We start from the raw sequence: 22,716 nt of genomic DNA, 5'->3' as shown, positions 1-22,716 counted from the left end.
GCTTAGAGAAGTGCCACAAGGTGAGAGGCGTGCAGGGTATGTTCCGTGGGCCATGCTGTGAATCTCAGGAATGGTCCTGTCAAGCTGGCATGGAGGTGGCAGCCTATGCTTCCTTTTCCTGAGGTGGCTGGTATGTCAGCCTTGAGGCTAGACAAACTCCGAAATTTCATTCAAAGGGTGAAATAAATCAACATCTCTCTGAAAACAGCATCCATCACCTATTGTTTAATTCCGGGATTGTGCCCTCTGAATAGCAGCCAGCACAGGTTCCGGCAGGAGTTTCTGGTGGTCTTTTTATACCCCTGCCCACATCTGCTTTGGACTCCTGACTCTCTACCATGCTGGAGGCCTGGGGGTGGGGAGGGGGAGTAGAGATCAAAGACAACAACAGCATGTGGGGCAGGTACAGAAAAAAGCAGAGAACCAACAACTGTCAGAATAGACAACCTTCTAGGAGTTACAAAGCATTTTAACTTAAACACTCAGACCAGACTAAAGTCACACAAATGTGCAATCCTGGCTAGGGCCCTCCCTCTCTGGGGGCCTTAGGTGAACTCATTCATGAAAAGAGAGGGTTAGACATGATACATCTGCTCTAAGATCCCTTTTAGCTCTGACCCCATGGGACTCAATGTACTTCTGGTACCAGCTCCCTGAGAGCAAGGAACACATTTATTTGTGCCTGCATCCCAACACCCAGCACACATCACATTTGTTGAATAAATGGCATCATTACACGTGCACTACACCTTGATGCTTGCCCTCAGGAGAACATTAGCAAGCACTCGCAGGGAATGAGGGAGATAAACCACTGAGTGGGCCTGGGTTAGGGCTGATTTGACAAGTCAGTCCAGATGGCCTGCTGTCTGACAATTTTGGGAACAATCAAGGTGAAACACTGAGAAATGAAAGCCACAAAAGATGCTACTTTGACAGAATTCAAGCTGTCCCTAGAGCCCCAGTCCTATCTGTGCTATCTTTTCTCTTCCGTGAACAAAAAAAACAAGTGAAGGCAGGAATGGAATCCTTGTAACAACTCACTGCTCCATTTGGTAACTTACAGTAAGTGTGAGTTTGAAATAAACTTTCCTTCTCTTGGTTACACTCTAGAAAGGCATTTTCCTTAGCCCTGTAGAGCACTTCGGTTAGGAAATGGCAGGTACATCCTAGCGTGAGGCTTCTCACGCTTTAATGTGCGTGCAAATCACCTGGGGACCTTGTTAAAATCAGATCCTGATTCAGGAAGTCTGGGATGAGGACTGAATTCTGCACCTTCAACAAGCTCCCAGTGATGCCAATGCTGCTGGTCAGAGAACCACACTGTGAGTCACCAGCCTCAAGGGCTGTGGTTTTCAAACTTGGCTCCATATTGGAATCACTTGGGAAGCTTTACAGACTACAAGCTCCAACCACAAGACTCCGATTTAATCAGCATGCACGCAGCCTGGGCATGAGAAATTTTTCTAACGCTCCCCAGGTGATTCTACTGTGGAGAAAAACTTGGTGCCTGCCAAGTAGACATCTGTTTCCCCTCTCTGAAATAGGAATATTTTGGTGAATGAATGGGTATGAATAAATAAATAAAAGGAATAAAATAGGAATAAAAATGCCTCTCTCTAATTACTTCAAAAGCAATGTTTTAAGGACTCAATTATCTGATATGGTGTATTCTCTTAGCAAGCAAAGTAACAATATCCATAGTTCCACTTAGAAAGTCTCTAAAGCATGGTTTCTCTTTAAACAAATCAGGTGAAACAATGGTTTCTACTGTTCTTTTCAAAGTGACACCAGAATGTATTAAGTATTTAGTTTCTCATTCTGCTGACATCAGGCTTAGGTTATTCATGCCAGCTTTGAGTGTAATCGGTACTGGAAGAGAAGCCCTTTCAACCACAGTACCTTGGCGGCTGCCCTGATCCAGGAAAGATTTGGAAGAGAATGACCTCCTATGCTTTGCACTGAGTGGGTCTCAGGGAGCAAATAGGAAGACACAGAGAGGACCCTTCTGAATCACTGCTGTGTTTAAAGTAAATTCCCAGAAAAAACAGAACACACAACATATTGTAAATACAAAAACAGAGCCAAATACAAATCAGATTAAGATTATTGTATGTATAAGGTGTTGATTAGAGGTCAAAAGTAATATAAAAATTACTGTATGCGTTATTGTGGATTAATTATTATTATTATTATCTTTTTAAGACAGAGTCTTGCTCTGTTGCCTAGGCTAGAGTGCAGTGGTGCTATCTCGGCTCACTGCAACCTCCACCTCCCGGGTTCAAGCGATTCTCCTGCCTCAGCCTCCCGAGTAGCTAGGATTACAGGCATGTGCCACTATGCCTGGCTAATTTTTGTATTTTTAGTAGAGACAGGGTTTCACCATGTTGGCCAGGCTGGACTCAAACTCCTGACCTCAGGTGATCCAACCGCCTTGGCCTCCCAAAGTGCTGGGATTATAGGCATGAGCCACCGCGTCTGGCCTATTGTAGATTACTTACTCTCTGTTCTGTCAGGGAAGACAATAAAGGCAAGAGTATAAGTATACATACAATAATTTCTCTTCCATATTTTTCTGTGCAGACTTTACAAATATTTTGGAAGTAACTTATTTTCTTCTTATACATCTACAGTAAACTACAATCAAGAAAATCTTAGTAAATTCATAATATGCTATAACAAATGTATACACATCCCCATTTTGAGAAAACATTTCTCCCACATACGTTATCTCCAGCAAGGGACAGTGCCTCTTTAGCCATGTGACCATAATTCACAGATTCCTTCGCTTACCAGTATAGTTTGCGGAATAGTTGTTTGGATCTAAAAACTTCTTAACCAGCTCACAATTAGACAAGATATGATTTGTTGTGATCACGTTGAGATAGTTCTGAAGACCTTTCTGCCTTTCAGCTATGAATTCACGATCCATGTTACCAATCAATTTTTTGGGAGGAAGAGGTAGACTTAGGCCTGCAATCTTTAAAAAAAAAAAAAAAAAGTTACACTCATGTCATCCACAAATAAGAATCAACACAAAAATCTTGACCTATCATATTTCATTAAACCTAAGACAATGCAGATTTTAGATGCATCCTAATTTCAGTGATATAAAAATTGTGAAAAACTGCATTTAGAATTGATAAAATACTGTATTAAGCATATTTTATTTTATTTTTGAGATGGAGTTTACTATGTCACCCAGGCTGGAGTGCAGTGGTGCGATTTTGGCTCACTGAAACCTCCACCTCCTGACTTCAAGAGATTCTCCTGCCTCAGCCTCCTGAGTAGCTGGGACTACAGGCATGTGACATCACGCCCAGCTAATTTTTGTATTTTTAGGAGAGACAGGGTTTTACCATGTTGGCCAGGCTGATCTCAAACTCCTGACCTCAAGTGATCCACCAGCTTCGGCCTCCCAAAGTGCTGGGATTACAGGTATGAGCCACCACATCTGGCCAGGCATAGTAATTTTAAAACTTTATTTTTTTAATGTGCTTTTATTTTTACTAAAGTTACATAAAAACATAATTTCAAGAGTAACTCACTTTCTTAAATTATTACTGGCAGTCCCATGACACCCCTTACCCCTGCTACCAGGTGACATAACCATTCTCTGCTCCCCTAAGACAGCCACGTTCGAGTCTCTCAGCTGATCTTTTGACAATGGGGAATGCTCATACTGTCATGGCTTGATTTTTCATTTTTAGGCATTATCTGTAGATTTCCCATTATGGAAGATGAGGATTAAGTTCTCTTTCACAATCCTAACCTCATCTCACACACATCCTGTCCCTAATCCTCCTGACATCATTATATTATAATTCGATTTGGTACAATATTCACATTTACCTTAAGTAAATAATATTCACAACTGAGCTAGAGCCATGCTTACTTTTCCTTTACAGCAACTTGTAGTCTTTTTTTTTTTTTTTTTTGGTTTTCTATTCAACTTGAAAGTCTCCATCCAAGCCTTCTCTCAACACATTCAGATACACAGCTGCGTCAGTTTTATCTTTTGAAGGGTACCTTCCAGAGTCCAACAACCTACTCCAAGCAGGACTGGCGGTCCCTACACTGCTGCAAAGGTGGCATCCTGGGACCTCCTTTCATCCTTATCCTAGAGATGTTTTTGCTTTTGTCATACTAAACCCCATTTTGTATCCCCTACATTCATTTTTTGTACATAATTCCCTTGTTTTTGGTAGAGTGTAACCTCTGTTGGCTTTTTTTTTTTTTTTTTTTGAGACGGAGTCTCGCACTATCGCCTAGGCTGGAGTGCAGTGGCGTGATCTCGGCTCGCTGCAAACTCTGTCTCCTGGGTTCACCCCATTCTCCTGCCTCAGCCTCCCAAGTAGCTGGGACTACAGGCGCCAGCCACAATGCCCAGCTAATATTTTCGTATTTTTAGTAGAGACGGGATTTCACCGTGTTAGCCAGGATGGTCTCGATCTCCTGACCTCGTGATCCACCCACCTCGGCCTCCCAAAGTGCTGGGATTACAGGCGTGAGCCACCGCGCCTGGCCCTCTGTTGGCGTTAAAAAGGAGAGCAGGAGATACATTTTTTTGAAACCTTGCATATATAAGGATGTCTTTATCCTCCCCTTATACTTGATTTATAGCTAGTGTTGATGTGGAATTTTAAGTTGGGGATACATTTTCTTCAGAATTTTATTTCTATTTCTTTCTTTACTTACTTACTTTGAGACAGAGTCTCCCTCTGTCACCCAGGCTGGAGTGCAGCAAACTCCGCCTCCCGGGTTCAAGCAGTTCTCCTGCCTCAGCCTCCAAGCAGCTGGGATTACAGGCATGTGCCACTGCACCCGGCTAATTTTTGTATTTTTAGTAGAGATGGGGTTTTACCCTGTTGGCCAGGCTGGTCTCGAACTCCTGACATCAAGTGATCTGCCTGCCTTGGCCTCTCAAAGTATTGGGATTACAGGCGTGAGCCACTGCACCCGGCCTTTCTTCAGAATTTTAAATAAATATTTGGTTGTCTTCTAGTTTATAGTGCTGCTGTTAAAGGTTCAAGCATATTGATGCCTTTTTTTTTTTTTTAAGAGATAGGGTCTTGCTTTGTCACTCAGGCTGCAGTGTGGTGGCGTGATCATAGCCCACTGTCGCCTCAAATTCCTGAGCTCAAGAGATCCTGTCACCCCAGCCTCACAAGTAGCTGGGACTACAGGTGCACGCCACCACACACAGCTAATCATAATGATTCTTGATCCATTTTTTGTTGTTGTTTTCCCATAAGCTTTCAGGATCTTCTCTATGACCTCAGTTTGTGACTTTCATGTGTCTGTTTTCATCCCTCATGGTGAGCACTCAGTCCTTTCAAACTAAAAACTAATCTCCTTAAGTTATTTGGCCTTTTATTGTATTGTTAGGTCATTATTTCTTCCCCTCCATGCCTTCTGCTTTCTTTTACTGAAACTCCTATTTTTTCAATGTTGGACTTCCTGGACTGCTCCTGTAATTTTATCTTTTTAATTTTCTGCTCTTTTTGTTTTGTTTTGTTTTTGAGACAGGTTCTCACCCTGTCACCCAGGCTAAAGTGCAGTGGCATGATCACCGCTCACTGTAGCCTCGACCTCCTAAGCTCAAGCAATCCTGTCACCTCAGCCTCTACAAGTGGTACACACCTGTAGCTGGGACTACAGATGTGCACCACCATGCCCGACTAATTTTTGTATTTCGCTTTTCTTTTTTTTAAAGAGTATTTCCTTTATCTTTTAGCCCTTCTAAATAGTTGTCTACTGTTACTTTTTATTTGTAAGTACTCTTTTCTATTCTTTTTCTTCCTTAATAGCACCTTGAATGTAATACCATTTCTTATCTCTCTGAGAAGACAAAAGATAATCTTCCTCAAGAGTCTAAAGCATTCTTCTCACTGCATACCTTCTGCTTCCTGATGGTTCCTTTTTTTCCTATTTGTTTTGGTCACTTTCAAGTTAAAAGTCTTTCTTGGTGGGAGTCAGGTATGAACAGGAACTGGGATTTAAGGGCCACACTTCAGAGGTATCCCAGGACTCCTTTTTGCCAGAATTATGGGAAGATAATGTTGTGGGATGTGAGTAGTGAAATTTAGAAAAAGCAGAGAGTCCTACAAAACATATCCACAGGAAGACAATTAAAGAGCAACTTACACCAAGTAGGTGAAACTCTAATGCTTCTGAAACAGATAAGGAAGAACACGGCAAATTTTTACCAAAGCTAAGTATTGAACATGGAGAAAAAGTAAACTAGTTCTTAGGTATAAAAATAAAGGGCTACCGCGAGCAGTGGCTCACTCCTGTAATTCCAGCACTATGGGAGGCTGAGGTGGGTGGATCACCTGAGGTCAGGAGTTCAAAACCAGCCTGGGCAACATGGTGAAACTCCGTCTCTACTAAACACACAAAAATTAGGCAGGCAAGGTGGTGGGTGCCTGTAATCCCAGCTACTCAGGAGGCTGAGGCAGGAGAATTGCTTGAACCCAGGAGGCGGAGGCTGCAGTAAGCCAAGATTGCACCACTGCCCTCCAGCCTGGGCAACAGAGCAAAACTCTGTCTCAAATACTACTACTACTAATAATAATAATAAAGGGCTACCAAAATATATATGCTAATATCTGATCAGACTAGTTATGTCTACATACTCCTTAAAAAAATGAAGTCCGGCTGGGCGCGGTGGCTCACGCCTGTAATCCCAGCACTTTGGGAGGCCGAGGCAGGCGAATCACCTGAAGTCGGGAGTTTGAGATTAGCCTGACCAACATGGAGAAACCCCATCTCTACTAAAAACACAAAAAATTAGCTGAGCATGGTGATGCATGCCTGTAATCCCAGCTACTCAGGAGGCTGAGGCAGGAGAATCGCTTGAACCTGGGAGGCAGAGGTTGCGGTGAGCTGAGATCCCACCACTGCACTCCAGCCTGGGCAACAAGAGCGAAACTTCGTCACACACACACACACACACACACACACACACACACACACACAAAAAAAAAAAAAAAAAAAAAGAAGAAAAATGAAGTCCAAATCCAATGAAAACATTTAAATAAGAAACAAAAATGAGTCCTGTAGGAGTCTGGTGACCCTTTGGTTATCAGCCCATATTCAAGAGTGGGGCACCAAAAGTTGACTGGAACCTCTGGGTGAGTGCCCTGGGATTTATCTACTGTGGGCTTTATTTTACCAGATGACCCTATGCAGCTGTTTTACTGGACAAACCTTTAGCTCTTTCCTCTTAGGCAGGACAGATTCCTCTAAAACAATCTTCTAATATCCTGCCTGAAAAGTCTGAAGCCTGACTGCCAGAATTCTGGGAGTTGAGAGGAAGAAGGAAGCTAGGGAGGGAGTGGGGTCCTCACGTATAGTACGTACATGTTTTCAAATGTGCCTGCATACCCCAGCCTAAAGACTGACCCTCTCCAGAAAATAAACTTACGGTTTTTTGCTAGAGGGAGGAGGGCAGGCATAAGTTGTACGGACATGGGAGATTTGGGGATCTGACTGCTTCTTAAACAGACTTGCAACTCCTTGACCTTCACCCCACTCTGGGGGCAGCACCTGGTACTGCCAATGCTGGAACCTTCCAGGGGTTCTGTGATATAAATTGAGACCCAATGAGATTATCTGCTTCCCATCTCAGAATTCTGCCTTCCTACATTTGCTTAATCAGTTAGCTCTCACCCACTGGATTTTCAGCTTAAAGTGTTTTATTGTGGTTTTTTCTTCTCCTGTTCTGTTTGTCCTTCAGAGTGTGTTTGTGTATATAAACAATCCACTATTATTCTAGACTGATTTCGGGAGGGAGAAAAAGTAAATACAGGTACTCAATCTACTATCATTTTCCACATTATTTAAAACTTTTAGTCTTTTCTTTCTTTTCTTTTTTTTTTTTTTTAGAAAGAGATAGGGTCTCACTATGTACTTGAACTCCTGGTTGCAAGTAATCCTCCCACCTCAGCCTGCCTCTCGAGTAGCTGGGACTGTGAGTTTATTTTTTAAACATAAAAAGCAAAGCATGAGATCGGCATTTTAATTTAATGAGCAAAGTCACTTTCAAAGAGTAGTACTATTCTAGACTTGTGCTTATATTAGAGCAGTCCAGTGGCATGTGTATTGATCGAGGGTAAGGTCTAAAGAGAAGGGCATCCTGAATTCAGAAAAGGATGTAATCTAAACCATTAAATTGGGCAAACCTAACTGTTCCATTCTGTATTTTTCAAACAACAATGATGCAGCCAAATGAAGACCTTGAACTTGATACTGGACAAGATGAAAAGGTTGGCGGATAATTCTAAATTGCCAATTTCTCAAATATAATTACGAAAATATGTCAGAGCATACACAGAGTAAATTTTCTATCACAGCATAATTCATTTCCAAATAAGAATCAAATTTCACATCATTTGCCTCATTTATACAGTTAGGCTTTATCTAATAGCAGTTTCTTTTTTAGCTGAATAAAATGCATACATATGAAGAAAGTACATCACTTAGCTATTGCACATCCAAGCCAATCACTTTATTTTTTGGTTCAAGGACATGATGAATTAAATCAAGGGTAGGCCGGGCACAGTGGCTCATGCCTGTAATCCCAGCACTTTGGGAGACCGAGGCAAGTGGACTACCTGGGGTCAGGAGTTAGATACCAGCCTAATCAACATAGCAAAACCCCATCTCTACTAAAAATACAAAAACTAGTCAGGCATGGTGGTACACGACTGTAATTTCAGCTCCTCAGGAGGCTGAGGCACAAGAATCGCTTGAACCCAGGAGGCAAAGGTTGCAGTGAGCCACGATGGCACCACTGCACTCCAGCCTGGGTAATGGAGTGAGACTCTGTCTCAAAAATAAATAAATAAATAAATAAATAATAAAGGGTAATATATTACCTAAAACACAACTGATGTATCTTCCCTGAAACTATTTTATGAAGTTGCAGAATATCATCTCATTTACGTGTGTGTATGCTAAGTTATCACTTAATGTTGTCTATAGGTTCTTACAAACTGGGACTTTAAGCAAAATGAATAACAAGACTAATTTTACCATAGGCTAATTAATTAATTTTATTTATTTATTTATTTTTAGACAGAGTTTCGCTCTTGTCACCCAGGCTGGAGTGCAATGACACAATCTTGGCTCACTGCAACCTCCGCCTCCTGGGTTCAAGTAATTCTCCTGCCTCAGCCTCCCGAGTAAGTGGGATTACAGGTGCCTGCCACCACGCCTGGCTAATTTTTGTATTTTTAGTAGAGATGGGGTTTCACCATGTTGGCCAGGCTGGTCTCAAACTCTTGATCTCAAGTGATTCACCCACCTCAGCCTCCCAAAGTGCTGGAATTACAGGCGTGAGCCACCACGCCCGGCCAGGCTAATTTATATAAACAAGAATTAACTTCCTCCAGCATATTTCTGGTCACAAAAACATCAGCAAACTTCTAAAGACCTAAAACATGTCTAATAATAAACATTGAAATAAATATTACCTATATATAATTTAAGAAAGATTAATAAAAACAAGATAATTATTATTTTGGAGGGTAGCTGTTGTTAACTTGGTGTATTTTTGCACTTAACATTCATTACTTAAAGCAATTATATAGATATTAAAATGTAATTAAAGAATCCAGAAGAAATGGAAAATTACTTAAGCAATTATAATGCTTAGCATTGGTGAGATTTTGCCAACTTAACAAGTTAATTATTTATGCCATGTTTCCAGTTTAGGGTCTCAGGTGGCCGGAACCCATCCCATGTCAGGGTGCGCTCACACACACCCACACTCACATGGGGACTATGCAGACATGCTGGTTCACCTAACCTGTACATCTTTGGGATGTGGGAAGAAACTGGAGTACCCAGAGAAAATCCACGTAGACATGGAGAGAAAGTGCAAACTCCATTCACACAGTGGCCTTGGTCGTGGATAGATTTATTTTTTTCTCATCAACATTACAACCAAACAATGTTGAACAAAACGGTGTTATCTGAGAGCCTGCTGTCTTAGCCCGGGATATGGTTACACAGGCACAGAAAAAATGTCTGGGAGGACTCACACCAACTGCTTAACAATAACCATTTCTAGGAGTGGGTTGGTTCATTAATTTTTATTTCTCTACTGTGAAATGTTTACAGTGCTCATTTACTACTTTTTTTTCAATTAAAGAAAGAAAAGTGCTTTTGTTTATCAAACTGATTGTATATGGAGCAAGGATTTTTAAAATACCATTACCCAGTATCGACAGATTTGCCTGCACTACCGCATAGCAGCATCCCCAGCTGAGTCCACATCACTCAGAAAGGAGTCACATCTGACATCATTGGATTCAAATCCCAATATTCTGGCTCCTTTTCTTTCATTGTGGGGATGTGAGAGTGAATTTCATAAAGTATCTGTTTTGAACTTTGTGGCTTCCAAGCTTCAACATACCCAGTTTGTCAAGCTTCATTTCACTTTTTTAAATGTATTGCTCTGCCCAGACATCCCATCAGTTCTTTCAAACCGTCAGGTGAAACAAAGAGCTCTTTTGCCAACAGCTGCAATTATAATGTCCCTGCTATGTCAGACAGACCGGAGGTGGTTTTCCTGCCCTAAGTTTAAGATCTCACAAAAAAAATTCCTAAAGGTACTCAGACTATGCAACATATGTGTTATTTTAAAATCCCATCTCTTAAAAAAGATTATTCAAGAGACACTTACTTTCTCTTTCAGCTTTCTCCTAGAATTTCTAAACTGCTTACCAATTACAGAATAGAAAATTTAGAATTCCAATGGCTAATTAGAAGGGAGGGAAAAAAATACTACACATGGAATAATAAAGTCTCTAAGCCACTGATTTCCTAGACACCTCCACACTGATGACTTCAAGCCAGGATGCCTCATCATCTCACTTTCACTACCTTCCTCTTTAACATGCCCTATGGATTCCCTTCTTGAGTTCCTTATAGAAGGAAAAGAGAACAAGACAGCCAGCAGAGGAGTCCCCGGAGTTCTATGCACAACTGCAGAGTGAAAATGGAAAGGGGAGGCCAGGCGCCGTGGCTCACACCTGTAGTCCCAGCATTTTGGGAGGCTGAGGTGGGTGGATCACCTGAGGTCAGGAGTTCGAGACCAACCTGGCCAACATGATGAAACCCCCATCTCTACTGAAGATACAAAAAAATTAGCCAGGCATGATGGTGGGGGCATGTAATTCCAGCAACTTGGGAGGCTGAGGCAGGATAATCGCTTGAACCCGGGAGGTGGAGGTTGCAGTGAGCACGATCTCGGCTCACTGCACTCCAGCCTGGGCAACAGAGTGAGACTGTCTCAAAACAAAAAAAAAAAAAGAAAGAAAATGGAAAGCAGGGAATGATTCCCAAATTGGGATTTAGAGCCCAAAATTATATGACAAACTATATTACAGTTTCAGAAAACTAGCTTTTATCTGGAGGGAAAACTTTTTTTTTTTTTTTTTGAGACGGAGTCTCGCTCTGTCGCCATGGCTGGAGTGCAGTGTGCGATCTCGGCTCACTGCAAGCTCCACCTCCTGGGTTCACGCCATTCTCCTGCCTCAGCCTCCCGAGTAGCTGGGACTACAGGCGCCGGCCACCACGCCCTGCTAATTTTTTGTATTTTTAGTAGAGACGGGGTTTCACCATGTTAGCCAGGATGGTCTCGATCTCCTGACCTCGTGATCCACCCACCTCGGCCTCCCAAAGTGCTGGGATTACAGGCGTGAGCCACCACGTCAGGGGATGAGATGGCACTGGCCACAAGCTTACAGCAACTTCCAGGCAGAGGAAACAGAACATACAAAGGCCCTGGGCTAAGACAGGAATGAAAAACTTTCAACCTCAATCTGTTCATTGCTCTTTACTTCCAACATCAGATCTTCATGATCTGTAAATTGCCTTCAACCATATTCCAGTCAGTATCCTAGGGAGTTCTAAGCTTTCAACAGACCCTCAATTTGTCTCAACCCCCTGCTGTCCCCTGGAGTACAGTAAGTCTCTCCAAGGTCAACAATGGGCAGTAAAATTCTAATTACAAAACATTTGTGCTATAAGAGACCTCAGAAGTCATCTAGTTCAACCCCTTTATTTCAGCGGCGAAAGTGAAACCCAAGAGAAGAAATGATGGACTCGGCCAGGCGCTGTGGCTCACGCCTGTAATCCCAGCACTTTGGGAGGCCAAGGTGGGCGGATCACGAGGTCAGGAGATCACCATCCTGGCTAACACAGTGAAATCCCATCTCTACTTAAAATACAAAAAATTAGCCGGGCATGGTGGCGGGCGCCTTGTAGTCTTAGCTACTCAGGAGGCTGAGGCAGGAGAATGGCGTGAACCTGGGAGGTGGAGCTTGCAGTGAGCAGAGATGCACCACTGCACTCCAGCCTGGGCGACAGAGCGACTACGTCTCAAAAAAAAAAAAAAAGAAATGACGGACTCAAGGTCTCAACACTGGAAGGGGCAGGGCCTGGGTTCCTTCTCAAGTCTAAGGAACAGAGACTGAGTTCTTTCTCTCTCTGCCCAGTTCCCAACATTTCAACAGCCTGCTTCTTTCCCTTCGTTGTATGCTGTCTCCCTAGATGGCTGCTAATCTGATGTTGCATTTAAAATAAGATGGTGATTTTTCTTCATTGTTTCCACAAAATATGCTCACTATAAAAAGTCTGGCAGCCTGGCCAACACAGTGAAACCCCGTCTCTACTAAAAATACAAAAATTAGCCGGGCATGGTGGCACGTGCCTGTAATCTCAGCTACTCGGGAGGTTATGGCAGGAGAATTGCTTGAACCCAAGAGGCAGAGATTGCAGTGAGCCAAGATCACGCCACTGCATTCCAGTTTGGGTGACAGGGCGAGACTCCATCTCAAAAAAAAAAAACTTTAGAAAATGCAGCTTTTGCTGGGCACACTCCTGTAATCCCAGCACTTTGGGAGGCCGAGGCAGGCAGATCACAAGGTCAGGAGATTGAAACCATCCTGGCTAACACGGTGAAACCCCGTCTCTACTAAAAATACAAAAAATTAGCCGGGCGTGGTGGCGGGCGCCTGTAGTCCCAGCTACTCGGGAGGCTGAGGCAGGAGAATGAGGTGAACCCGGGAGGCGGAGCTTGCAGTCAGCCAAGATCGCGCCACTGCACTCCAGCCTGGGCGACAGAGTGAGACTCCATCTCAAAAAAAAAAGAAAAAGCAGCTTTTTTCTGTTTTTCCACTTAGATAGCCTACATGTGCTTGTTTGTGGAGCACTTGGAAAGTACAGAACATTAAACAAAACAAAACAAAGAAACAGAAAAAGACATAACCTATAATTCTGCCACCTGGGGATCACCATTAACATTTTGGCATATTTACTTGCAATCCTGTTTTCCAAACATTTCTTGTAATTATATTATATGGCATATATAATTTTGCATTCTGCTTTTTTTTCACTTAGACATGTTCCTATTGGACTCAGACATGTGTCCAACTCTGCATATGTGTATTATATTTCTCTTTCTTCAGCAGGAACTCATTTATCTGTCAAAAGGGTAATTGGACACTGAAAATCATGGTCACAGTTTTATTCTGAGGTTTGAGTCTTTTTGGTCTGTTTTATGGATATTGTTTTAAATTATTTCACTGCCAAAAAGCTGTATGTGCTTTCTTCTGTTTGTTTACTTGAATCCAGAAAAACCTCCCACTGAAATGATGTCTGACCATATTCTGCCCAACATAAGCCAACATCAATACATGGGGATATTTGCATTTGAAATAAGATGCACATTGAAAGTCCCCATTTTAAAAGGTAAAATTACACTGAAGCAAGCATAAAATTCACTATATTAAAAAGGCCATAAGTGAAGAGTTGTGGAGAAACTTTATCACCCCAAAGTATGAGTAAATGAGAGATAAAACTCCCCTCCCCACCCTCTATTCTTAGAGGCTAAGTCTAGGCAATTTCAATTTCAAAAATATTTCTCCCACAATTCTTACTCGGCCTGGCTGAATGACATTGTACAAAGATCACGCCCCCTTTATGCACAAGCAAAGGTTCGCTTGAGCATAAAGGCAGAAACAGTTAGTAGGCCCACTGTTAATTCCCAAATGCTTACACCACTGTGGAAATGTCACATGGGCCACTGCACTGGGGAGAGGAGGGCTTGAGGAGAAAATCCACTGCTGGAATAAACTGCACATTGATACCTTATCTACAATGTCATCATAGGCCCAGCTCTTGTCTGAGTGCAAAGATGCTATTAAAATCCATAAATAAAACCAATTAAACCCACTGATGAGAATCTGATGTCTGCCAATATTCTATCTGAAGACTCAAATGGGTCATACTAAAATTAAAACACAAAAAGACATTATGTGTCAAATGCATGACAAGTATGGCAATACATAATCATCTGCAGATACTCAGGCCCCTTCCTTCAAAAGGAAAACAAGGCATTCATGCTTTCAGCAGCATTATAAATAATGTTAAAGTGTGGGCTGTACAAATACTTATTTCCTTTTTTGTTTGTTTGTTTTTTGAGACAGAGTCTTGCTCTATTGCCCAGGATGCAGTGCAACGTGGTGCATTCTTGGCTCACTGCAACCTCCCCCTCCTGGGTTCAGGCGGTTCTCCTGCCTCAGCCCCCTGAGTAGCTGGGATTACAGGCGCCCACACCACACCCAGCTAATTTTTGTATTTTTAGTAGAGACAGGGTTTCGCCATGTTAGCCAGGCTGGTCTTGAACTCCTGACCTCAGGTGATCCACCCGCCTCAGCCTCCCAAAGTGCTGGGATTACGGGAGTGAGCCACGACGTGTGGCCCAAATGCTTATTTTCTGAAGTCTGACCAACAAAACGTGGCCTTCTGAAGGAAAGGAAGTATTACGCTTCCTCCTAGTGCACAGTCCTCCTGACCTTTATGGGCAAGATCAGAGGTCCCTCAGAATGAGCGATAACGGCTAGCTCACCAATGACGGGAGCAGTCCTTTCCCTCCTGGCTGAGTCCTTTACCTCATAAGCCGTGCACTCTTCCTCAGGTTTAAAGGGTTTTATGTTACCAATCAAACCTGAAGTATGACACACAAGAGCACAATAGTCTTCAGTAATCCAAGGCACTTGAAGACCAGCCTGCCAAGTGAAGACATGGCGGGTATTGGCAGGACTTCCTAAGGTGCTAAAGCCCCTCTTGGACCCTTTAACCATTACCAACACTGGCTGTGTTTCTAGATGAAGACCTTCCAGCTCATGCTTCTTCCCATTATGGCCCTCAAGTTAGGAACATTTAAAACAAAGGGATTTCTAACTACATATTTAGGATAAAAAAGTTAAACAGAAAAAGGTTGAGACTCTCAGTTACTGCTGCATGTTGATCCGCAGAGCTGATATGTAGCCTAGTTCAATGAAGAGATTCAGAGTCCCAGCTCCACCTAAGTGAACAACACTAGCAATCCACGCAATCATTCCACATCTGTTAAAAGGAGATATTACGTCAGCCTCCTATGACTGTGGTAAGAATACAGTCTGGCACAATAATACTTGGTTGCAAGGTGACTATTAATTATAAATCACATGTTGATTCCCAAAAGTTTATTTTTGGGAATACTTTACATCATCTGTATAAAGTATGAATTTATTTTCTTTGACAGGGAAATGTGCTAATTTCTTGTTTCTGATATTGCCATTTCCAACCAGTTTTGTTTTTTTTTTTTTTTTTGAGACAGAGTTTCACTCTTATTGCCCAGGCTGGAGTGCAATGGTGCGATCTCGGCTCACCACAACCTCCGCTTCCCAGGTTCAAGTGATTCTCCTGCCTCAGCCTTCCAAGTAGCTAGGATTACAGGCACGCGCCACCACGCCTGGCTAATTTTGTATTTTTAGTAGAGATGGGGTTTCTCCATGTTGGTCAGGTGGTCTTGAACGCCTGACCTCAGGTGATCCACCCGCATTGGCCTCCCCAAGTGCTGGGATTACAGGCGTTGAGCCACCGTGCCCCGACTCCAGCCAGTTTTTTAGACACCCCAAGTAATCAATGTGTGTAATTAGAATTTCAAAACATTTACCTGTAAGCTGTTGTTAAGCAAATCAAAGTCACTGTATCTTCTAACAATCTGTAAGAGACAAGAAGTAGTGTTTTGATTCAGCAAAGACTATCTCTTTTCATTTCTTTATTTAATATGTATTAGAATTAGTAATATTGGCACTCTAGAGCTCAGGCACTTGTGCTAAGGGTAGTAGGGCTTATACCTGGTGCTTAACTGTTTAACCTGACAAGCCTAGAAAACAGACTTAGCAGTGCCAAGCGTTGGCTGGGCCATGGGAAACTGGTTAATACCTGTCAAATTCACAAGATGCCAAGAGATAAGTGAGAATATTTGTTTTCAGGGCAAACAGCCCTTCAATTGTCTTTCTTATTAACCAGGCACCTAGAAAGATGAATGACTTAAAAAAAAAAGTTTTACTGAGCATGGAATCAAAGCAAGAGGAAATGGACAGTTTTGAGGCCATTTCACCTTTGTCCTGGGTCAAACTTTCCCCAGGTGAGCTCCCACCACCCTGGAGACTGGACTGCATTGCAGGCAGAGCTGCCACACATACATCGCCCTGATTCCCCAGGGTTCCCCCTCTTGACAGACAGTCCACCTTCCATTGTCTACACATTCTTTCTCAGTTGTATTAATGCCATTGATTAGGCTATAGTCAAATTCTACTAGTTCTTCAGGCCCTGATCAAGAAAATAATTTTGGTTTGAATAGTTTGACTTTAACCTTTATTGGTGATTTTCACATGTTAATGTGCAGAAAAGTATTACCTGGATATCACCTAGAACCCTATCGGGGCTCAGAAAATGATATCCCAGTATGGTACTTTGGCATGCTAAGTACTTTGAACTAAAGGAGATTAGAAGGCCTCAGAAATGGGCTGGGCACAGTGGCTTGTGACTGTAATCCCAGCACTTTGGGAGGCTAAGGCGGGTGGATCACCTGAGGCCAGGAGTTCGAGACCAGCCTGGCCAATGTGGCGAAACCCGTCTCTACTAAAAATACAAAGATTAGCTGGGCATGGTGGCGAGCACCTGTAGCCTCAGCTACTCGGGAGGCAGAAGCACTAGAATCGCTTGAGCCTAGGAGGCAGAGATTGCAGTGAGCAGAGATCGCTCCACTGCATTCCAGCCCGGGCAACAGAATGAGACTCTGTCTAAAAAAAAAAGAAGGGCTCACAAATGAGTTATTCTTTCTGGTCTTCTGCCCTCCTGTCTCTAGCCCCTCTACCTCTCACAAAGTAAGCCATAAAACCTAGAGGTTGCTCTCTCCCTTCTCCCTTGAGGACTCTCATTCTAAAGGGGTCCTGCCCCATACCCAGGAGGAAGGAAGGCTACACGGACAGACCAAGAAAAACAGACAGGCCCAGGCACAATGGCTCATACCTACAATCCCAGCACTTTGGGAGGCAAAGGCAGGAGGATCCCTTGAGCTTAGGAGTTAAAGACCAGTCTGGGCAACATAGCAAGACCCCTTTTCTACAAAACTAAAAATTAAAAAAAGAAGAACAGACAAGGCCAGGCATGGTGGCTCATGCCTACAATCCCAGCACTTTGGGAGGCTAAGGCAGGAGGATTGCTCGAGCTCAGGAGTTCCAGACCAGCCTGGGCAACATGGCCAAACCCCATCTCTATAAAAAACACACAAAAATTAGTTGGGCATAGTGGCACCTGCCTATAGTTCCAGCTACTCAGGAGGCTGAAGTGGGAGGATCACTTGAGCCCAGGAGGTCGAGGCTGAAGTGAGCTGTGATCACACCACTGCACTCCAGTCTGGGCCACAGAGCAAAACCCTATCTCAAAAAAATAAAAATAAAAACATAAAGAAATTGTTTGTTCAATCACATTCTACATGGCTATCCATTCTTCATCAAATCAAGCATAAAAATGGACAGTTTTCCCCGGGTCTTTGGGTCTTCATTTCTGAAAGTTCCTGTGTCACATAAAACTTTGATTGGTCAGGCACAGTGGCTCACATCTGTAATCCCAACACTTTGGGAGGCCGAGGCAGGCGGATCACGAGGTCAGGACATCGAGAACATCCTGGCTAACACAGTGAAACCCTGTCTCTACTAAAAATACAAAAAAATTAGCTGGGCGTGGTGGCGGGTGCCTGTAGTCCCAGCTACTCGGGAGGCTAAGGCAGGAGAATGGCGTGAACCCAGGAGGCGGAGTTTGCAGTGAGCGAAGATCGTGCCACTGCACTGCAGCCTGGGTGACAGAGCAAGACTCCGTCTCAAAAAAAAAAAAAGCTTTTATTAAATAAATTTGTTATGCTTTTCCCTTATTAATCTGTCTTCTGTTATAGGAGTGTTGGCCACAACCATTACCATGGGTGAAGAAAGGTATCACACCTCTCTGCCCCTACAACCCCACCCATTGAAAATCTGATCAGTAGGTCTAGGATGGGGCCCAAGAGTCTACATTTTTGTTGAGTACTCCTGGGTTTCTAATGCAATGGATCTAGAAAACTGCACCAAGGGTTGATCTTTCTGGTAGGACACTGCTGTTGGCCCTGTTTGCCAAATATACATCAAAAAGTTAAATATAAGGTCATCCCTGATAAGAGCCAAGAAGCAAAAGATCGTAGAGTGGTTAACCACAGAGAATGAGCAAATTCCAACTCTACTCTGCCAATGATCTAACTGTGACCTTAGACAGTTACTTACTTCACAAATGTAAAATGAGGACAATACTACCACATAGGACATTTTTAAAAGGTTAAGTGAATTAATGTGCTTAAACCAGTGAACACTTAATACATGCTCAATAGATGTTAAATATAATAATTATTCAAACAAACAGTAGTTTGAAATTTCAGGCAAAGAAAAGACCAAGTGTGGACAACTGTGTGTAAGAGGCTGCTTAAGGTAGAAGGTTAAAGTTTGAGCTGGGCTGTGAAGGAGAAGGTAAGATTTTTGGGAGAGAAGAAGTGTTGCGGGGAGGTGGAGGTGGTAATTATAATTACTAAAACAGGAAAGAAAGGGCCCCTATGCAGAATTCAGCCACCCTCTGTAAGTCAACTCAGATGGGAAGGACCTCTCGATCTGTCCAGGAATTCTTTTCTCTCTGAGGCCACCACTGAAGAAAGCAGAGCCTGGGGCCCCAAGAAGACCCTCCCCTAGAGACAATGAGGGAGCTAGCACCAGAAGCTGCCCATGAGTGGACCTGAGATCCATAAAATGTAGTGGCCCAAACTGTACAATAACCAAGACTCAATCTCACCTTTCTACCTGGTAGACTGAACTCAAACCATAGCTACAGGGGAGAAGGTGTGAATTTCTAGAAAGAAAACAAGTAATTTGCATACACTATTTGCCCTGGGTTGAGCTGGGGAACAAATTCCTAGATACCCTCCATAGTAATATCAATCACACACAATTTAACCAAACAACTGGGGACAGGAAAGACTCTTATCATACTTGTCTTAAAGCTAAAAGTTTATAGCTAAAAGAAACATGATTTATATTTATGCATGTTCTGATTTTTCCAGACTTTCAGAGGCCCCAAGTCAGGGTTTTAGTCACGCATTTAAATATTTTTCTAATTGACAAAAAAAAAAAAAAAGATGCTTACCTGCCAGCTGTTTTCCACAGAAATTCCTCTTTGCACTCGAATAATATATTCCTTAAAAAGAGAAGGGAAGAATAACCTCAGTTATAAAACTGAGTTTGATTCCCAAAGCAGGGAATCAAAAATAAGTTTTAAAAAATCAGATAAAGTAGACTTCAGAGCAAGGAAATTTACCAGAGACAGAGAGAAAGGGACATTACATAAAAACAAAAGGGTAATCTACCAGGAAGACATAGCAATCCTCAATGTATATGCATCAAACAACAGAGCTGTAAAATATGTGAGGCAAAAAACTGATAAAACTGAAAGAAGTGACAGACAAATCCAAAATTATAGTTGAAGACTTCAATACTCCTCTGTCAGGAATTGACAGAACAACTAAACAGAACACCAACTAGGATATAGAAGAACTTAACAATACCATCAGCCAACAGGATTTAATTAGCATTTATAGAGCACTCCATCCAGTAACAGCAGAATACACATTCTTTCCAAGTCATCATGCGTACCATAGACCAATACAGATCATATCCTGAGCCATAAATCTCAAAATATTTAAAAGAACCAAAATCATACAAACTAGAAATCAGTAAGATTGGTAACAGGAAAATCTCCACAACAGTTGGAAACTAAACAACACAGTTCTAAATAATCCATGTTTTAAAGACAAAATCTCAAGGGAAATTAAAAATTACATACATTGAACTGAAAGAAAATACAGCATATCAAAATTTGTGGGACACGTCAGCTAACACAGCACTGAGAGGGAAATTTAAGCACTAAATGCTTATATTAGAAAAGAGAAAAACTATCAAATCAATAACCTAAACTTCACCTCAAGAACCTAGAAAAAGAAGAGCGTAATACACTCAAAGCAAGCAGAAGAAGGAAAAATAAAGAGCAGAAATCAATAAAATTGAAAACAAAGAAATAGAGAAAAGTCAAGAAATAAAAAGCTGATTATTTGAAAAGACCAATAAAATTGACAAAAATGGACAAAATAAAGATAAGACATGTATTATTAATATCAAGAATGAATTAGGATACCACTACAGACTGTGCAGATATCAAATGGATAAGGGAATGCTGTGAACGATTCTACATATATCAATTTGACAACTTAGATGAAATGGACCACTTCCTCAGGAACACTAAATACCACAACTCACTCAATATGAAATACATAATTTGATCTTCATAATGATTTTTTTTTTTTGAGACCGAGTCTCACTCTGTCACCCAGGCTGGAGTGCAGTGGCACGATCTCAGCTCACTGCCACTTCCGCCTCCTGGGTTCAAGCAATTCTCCTGCCTCAGCCTCCTGAGTAGCTGGGATTACAGGTGCCTGCCACTGTTCCCGGCTAATTTTTGTGTTTTTAGCGGAGATGGGGTTTCACCATATTGGCCCAGCTGGTCTCGAACTCCTGACCTCAAGTAATCCGCCCACCTCGGCCTCCCAAAGTGCTGGGATTACAGGCGTGAGCCACCGCGCCCAGCCTATAATGATTTATAATTAAATTCATAACTAAAAAACTCCGCTCCCCTCCCCCCGCCAAATATGTATCAAGGCCCAATGGTTTCACTGGAGAATTCTACTAAGTGTCTTAAGAAGAATCAACACCAATTCTCTACAAACTCTTCTAAAACACAGAAGAGGAAGGAACACTTCCCAATTCACTTGATGAAGCTAGTATTACCCAGGTCCCAAAACCAAAGACAGTACAAAAAAGAGAACTATAGATCAATACCATTCACAAACATAGGCTCAAAAATCCTTACCAAAATATTAGTAAATTGAATTCAGCAATTTATAAAAAGAATTATATACCATGACCAAGTGGGTCTCATTCTAGGGACTCAAGGCTGGTTCACCATTCAGAAACTGATCGATGTAATCTGCCATATTAACAGGCTAATCAAGAAAAATCATGTGATCGTATCAAATGATGCAGAAAAAGCATCTGGCAAAACTCAACATCCTTTCATGATAAAAAATTTTAGAAAAATAGGAATAGAGGACACTTTCTTAAGTTGATGAAAAAGTTCTACAAAAAACCTACAGCTGACATACTTAATGGTGGAAGACTCAGTATTTTCCCCTAAGATCAGGAACAAGGCAAGGCAGTGTGTTCTCCTACTCAACAAACTACTGGAAGATCTAGCCAGTGTAATAAAAATAGGAAAAGAAATAAACGGCATATAGATCAAAAGGAAGAAATAAAACTGTTCGTATTTTTAGGCAACATGATAGTCTATGTAGAAAATCCCAAGGGATCTACAAAAAAACTGGAATTAATAAATTCTTAGGCCAGACTCAGCGGCTCATGCCTGTAATCTCAGCACTTTAGCAGGCTGAGGTGGGATGACTGCTTGAGTCCAGGAGTTTAAGACTAGCCCAGGCAAAACAGCAAGACCTCGTCTCTACAAAAATAAAAAAATTAGCCAGGCATAGTGGCACATGCCTGTAGTCCCAGCTACTCAGGAGGCAGAGGGAATGCTTGAGCCCGGAAGGTCATGACTGCCGTGAGCCATGTTGGCACCCGCACTCCAGCCTTGGCAAAAGAGAGAGACCCAGTCATTAATTAATTAATTGAGTTCAACAAGGCCACAGAATACAAGTATACAAATATCAGTTGTGTATCTATATACTAGAAATGAACATATATAGGTATAAATTAGAAATACAATACCATTTACAATTACTCAAAAAAAAATACTTGGAGGGAAATCTAAAACATGCACAGTACTTGTATGTCGAAAACTACAAACCACTGATAACAGAAATCAAAGCTCTGAATAAACGAATAGAAATAAAGATTTCAATTATCCCTAAATTGATATACATGTTTAAAACAAATCCTATTAAAAGTTTTTTTTCCAAATATAGTCAAGATTATTCTAAAATGTAGATGGGGCCAAGTCAGCGGCTCATGACTATAATCTGAGCATTTGGGGAGGCCAAGGCGGGAGGATCACTTGAGCTCAGGAGTTCAACCAACCTGGGCAACATGGTGAAACTCCATCTCTACAAAATATAAAAAAATTAATTAGCCGGGCATGGTGGTACGCACTTGTAGTCCCAGCTACTCAGGAAGCTGAGGAAGGAGAATTGCTTGAGCCTGGGAGGCTGAAGCTGCAGTGAGCCAAGATCAT

General features: G+C 42.1%; 1 protein-coding gene and 1 pseudogene across 60 annotated transcripts in view, besides 2 other annotated features; one reads left to right on the top strand and one right to left on the bottom strand.

Annotated features, from left to right (window-relative positions):
• The window catches only part of PXK (PX domain containing serine/threonine kinase like), a 93,236-nt gene that overhangs the window by 40,637 nt on the left and 29,883 nt on the right, over positions 1 to 22,716 (bottom strand). For 17 of the 60 annotated variants that reach the window (NR_146194.2, NM_001349488.2, NM_001289098.2 and 14 more), the window contains exons 2-4: positions 19,567 to 19,617; positions 16,013 to 16,060; positions 2,791 to 2,977 (exon numbers count right to left, since the gene is read on the bottom strand). The exons of 12 other annotated variants lie outside the window; for them this stretch is intronic. Coding sequence is in view for 45 of the 48 variants with exons in the window: in NM_001349488.2 (NP_001336417.1) it covers positions 2,791 to 2,977; positions 16,013 to 16,060; positions 19,567 to 19,617 (286 nt within the window). In the remaining 3 variants the exon portion in view is untranslated. Of the gene's footprint in view, positions 1 to 2,790; positions 2,978 to 7,426; positions 7,583 to 16,012; positions 16,061 to 19,566; positions 19,618 to 22,716 lie in introns of all 60 variants that reach the window. 31 more of the 60 variants (NM_001349514.2, NM_001349517.2, NM_001349496.2 and 28 more) reach the window with 7 other exon arrangements.
• Positions 5,966 to 6,274, top strand: WDR53P1 (WDR53 pseudogene 1; annotated as a pseudogene).
• Positions 7,408 to 7,635: a silencer, noted in NCBI's record as "fragment chr3:58363583-58363810 (GRCh37/hg19 assembly coordinates)". NCBI's record gives its function as "represses an EF-1alpha promoter that drives an FKBP-Casp9 reporter gene in an ReSE screen in K562 erythroleukemia cells {active_cell/tissue: K562}" and the evidence as "EXISTENCE:reporter gene assay evidence [ECO:0000049][PMID:32094911]".
• Positions 18,492 to 18,692: a silencer, noted in NCBI's record as "peak4672 fragment used in MPRA reporter construct". NCBI's record gives its function as "represses an SCP1 promoter by STARR-seq MPRAs in K562 erythroleukemia cells {active_cell/tissue: K562}" and the evidence as "EXISTENCE:reporter gene assay evidence [ECO:0000049][PMID:32103011]".

The sequence above is a fragment of the Homo sapiens genome, chromosome 3, assembly GCF_000001405.40.
Source record: "Homo sapiens chromosome 3, GRCh38.p14 Primary Assembly".
Lineage (NCBI taxonomy): Eukaryota > Metazoa > Chordata > Mammalia > Primates > Hominidae > Homo > Homo sapiens.
This window is presented reverse-complemented; position numbering and strand designations above follow the sequence as displayed.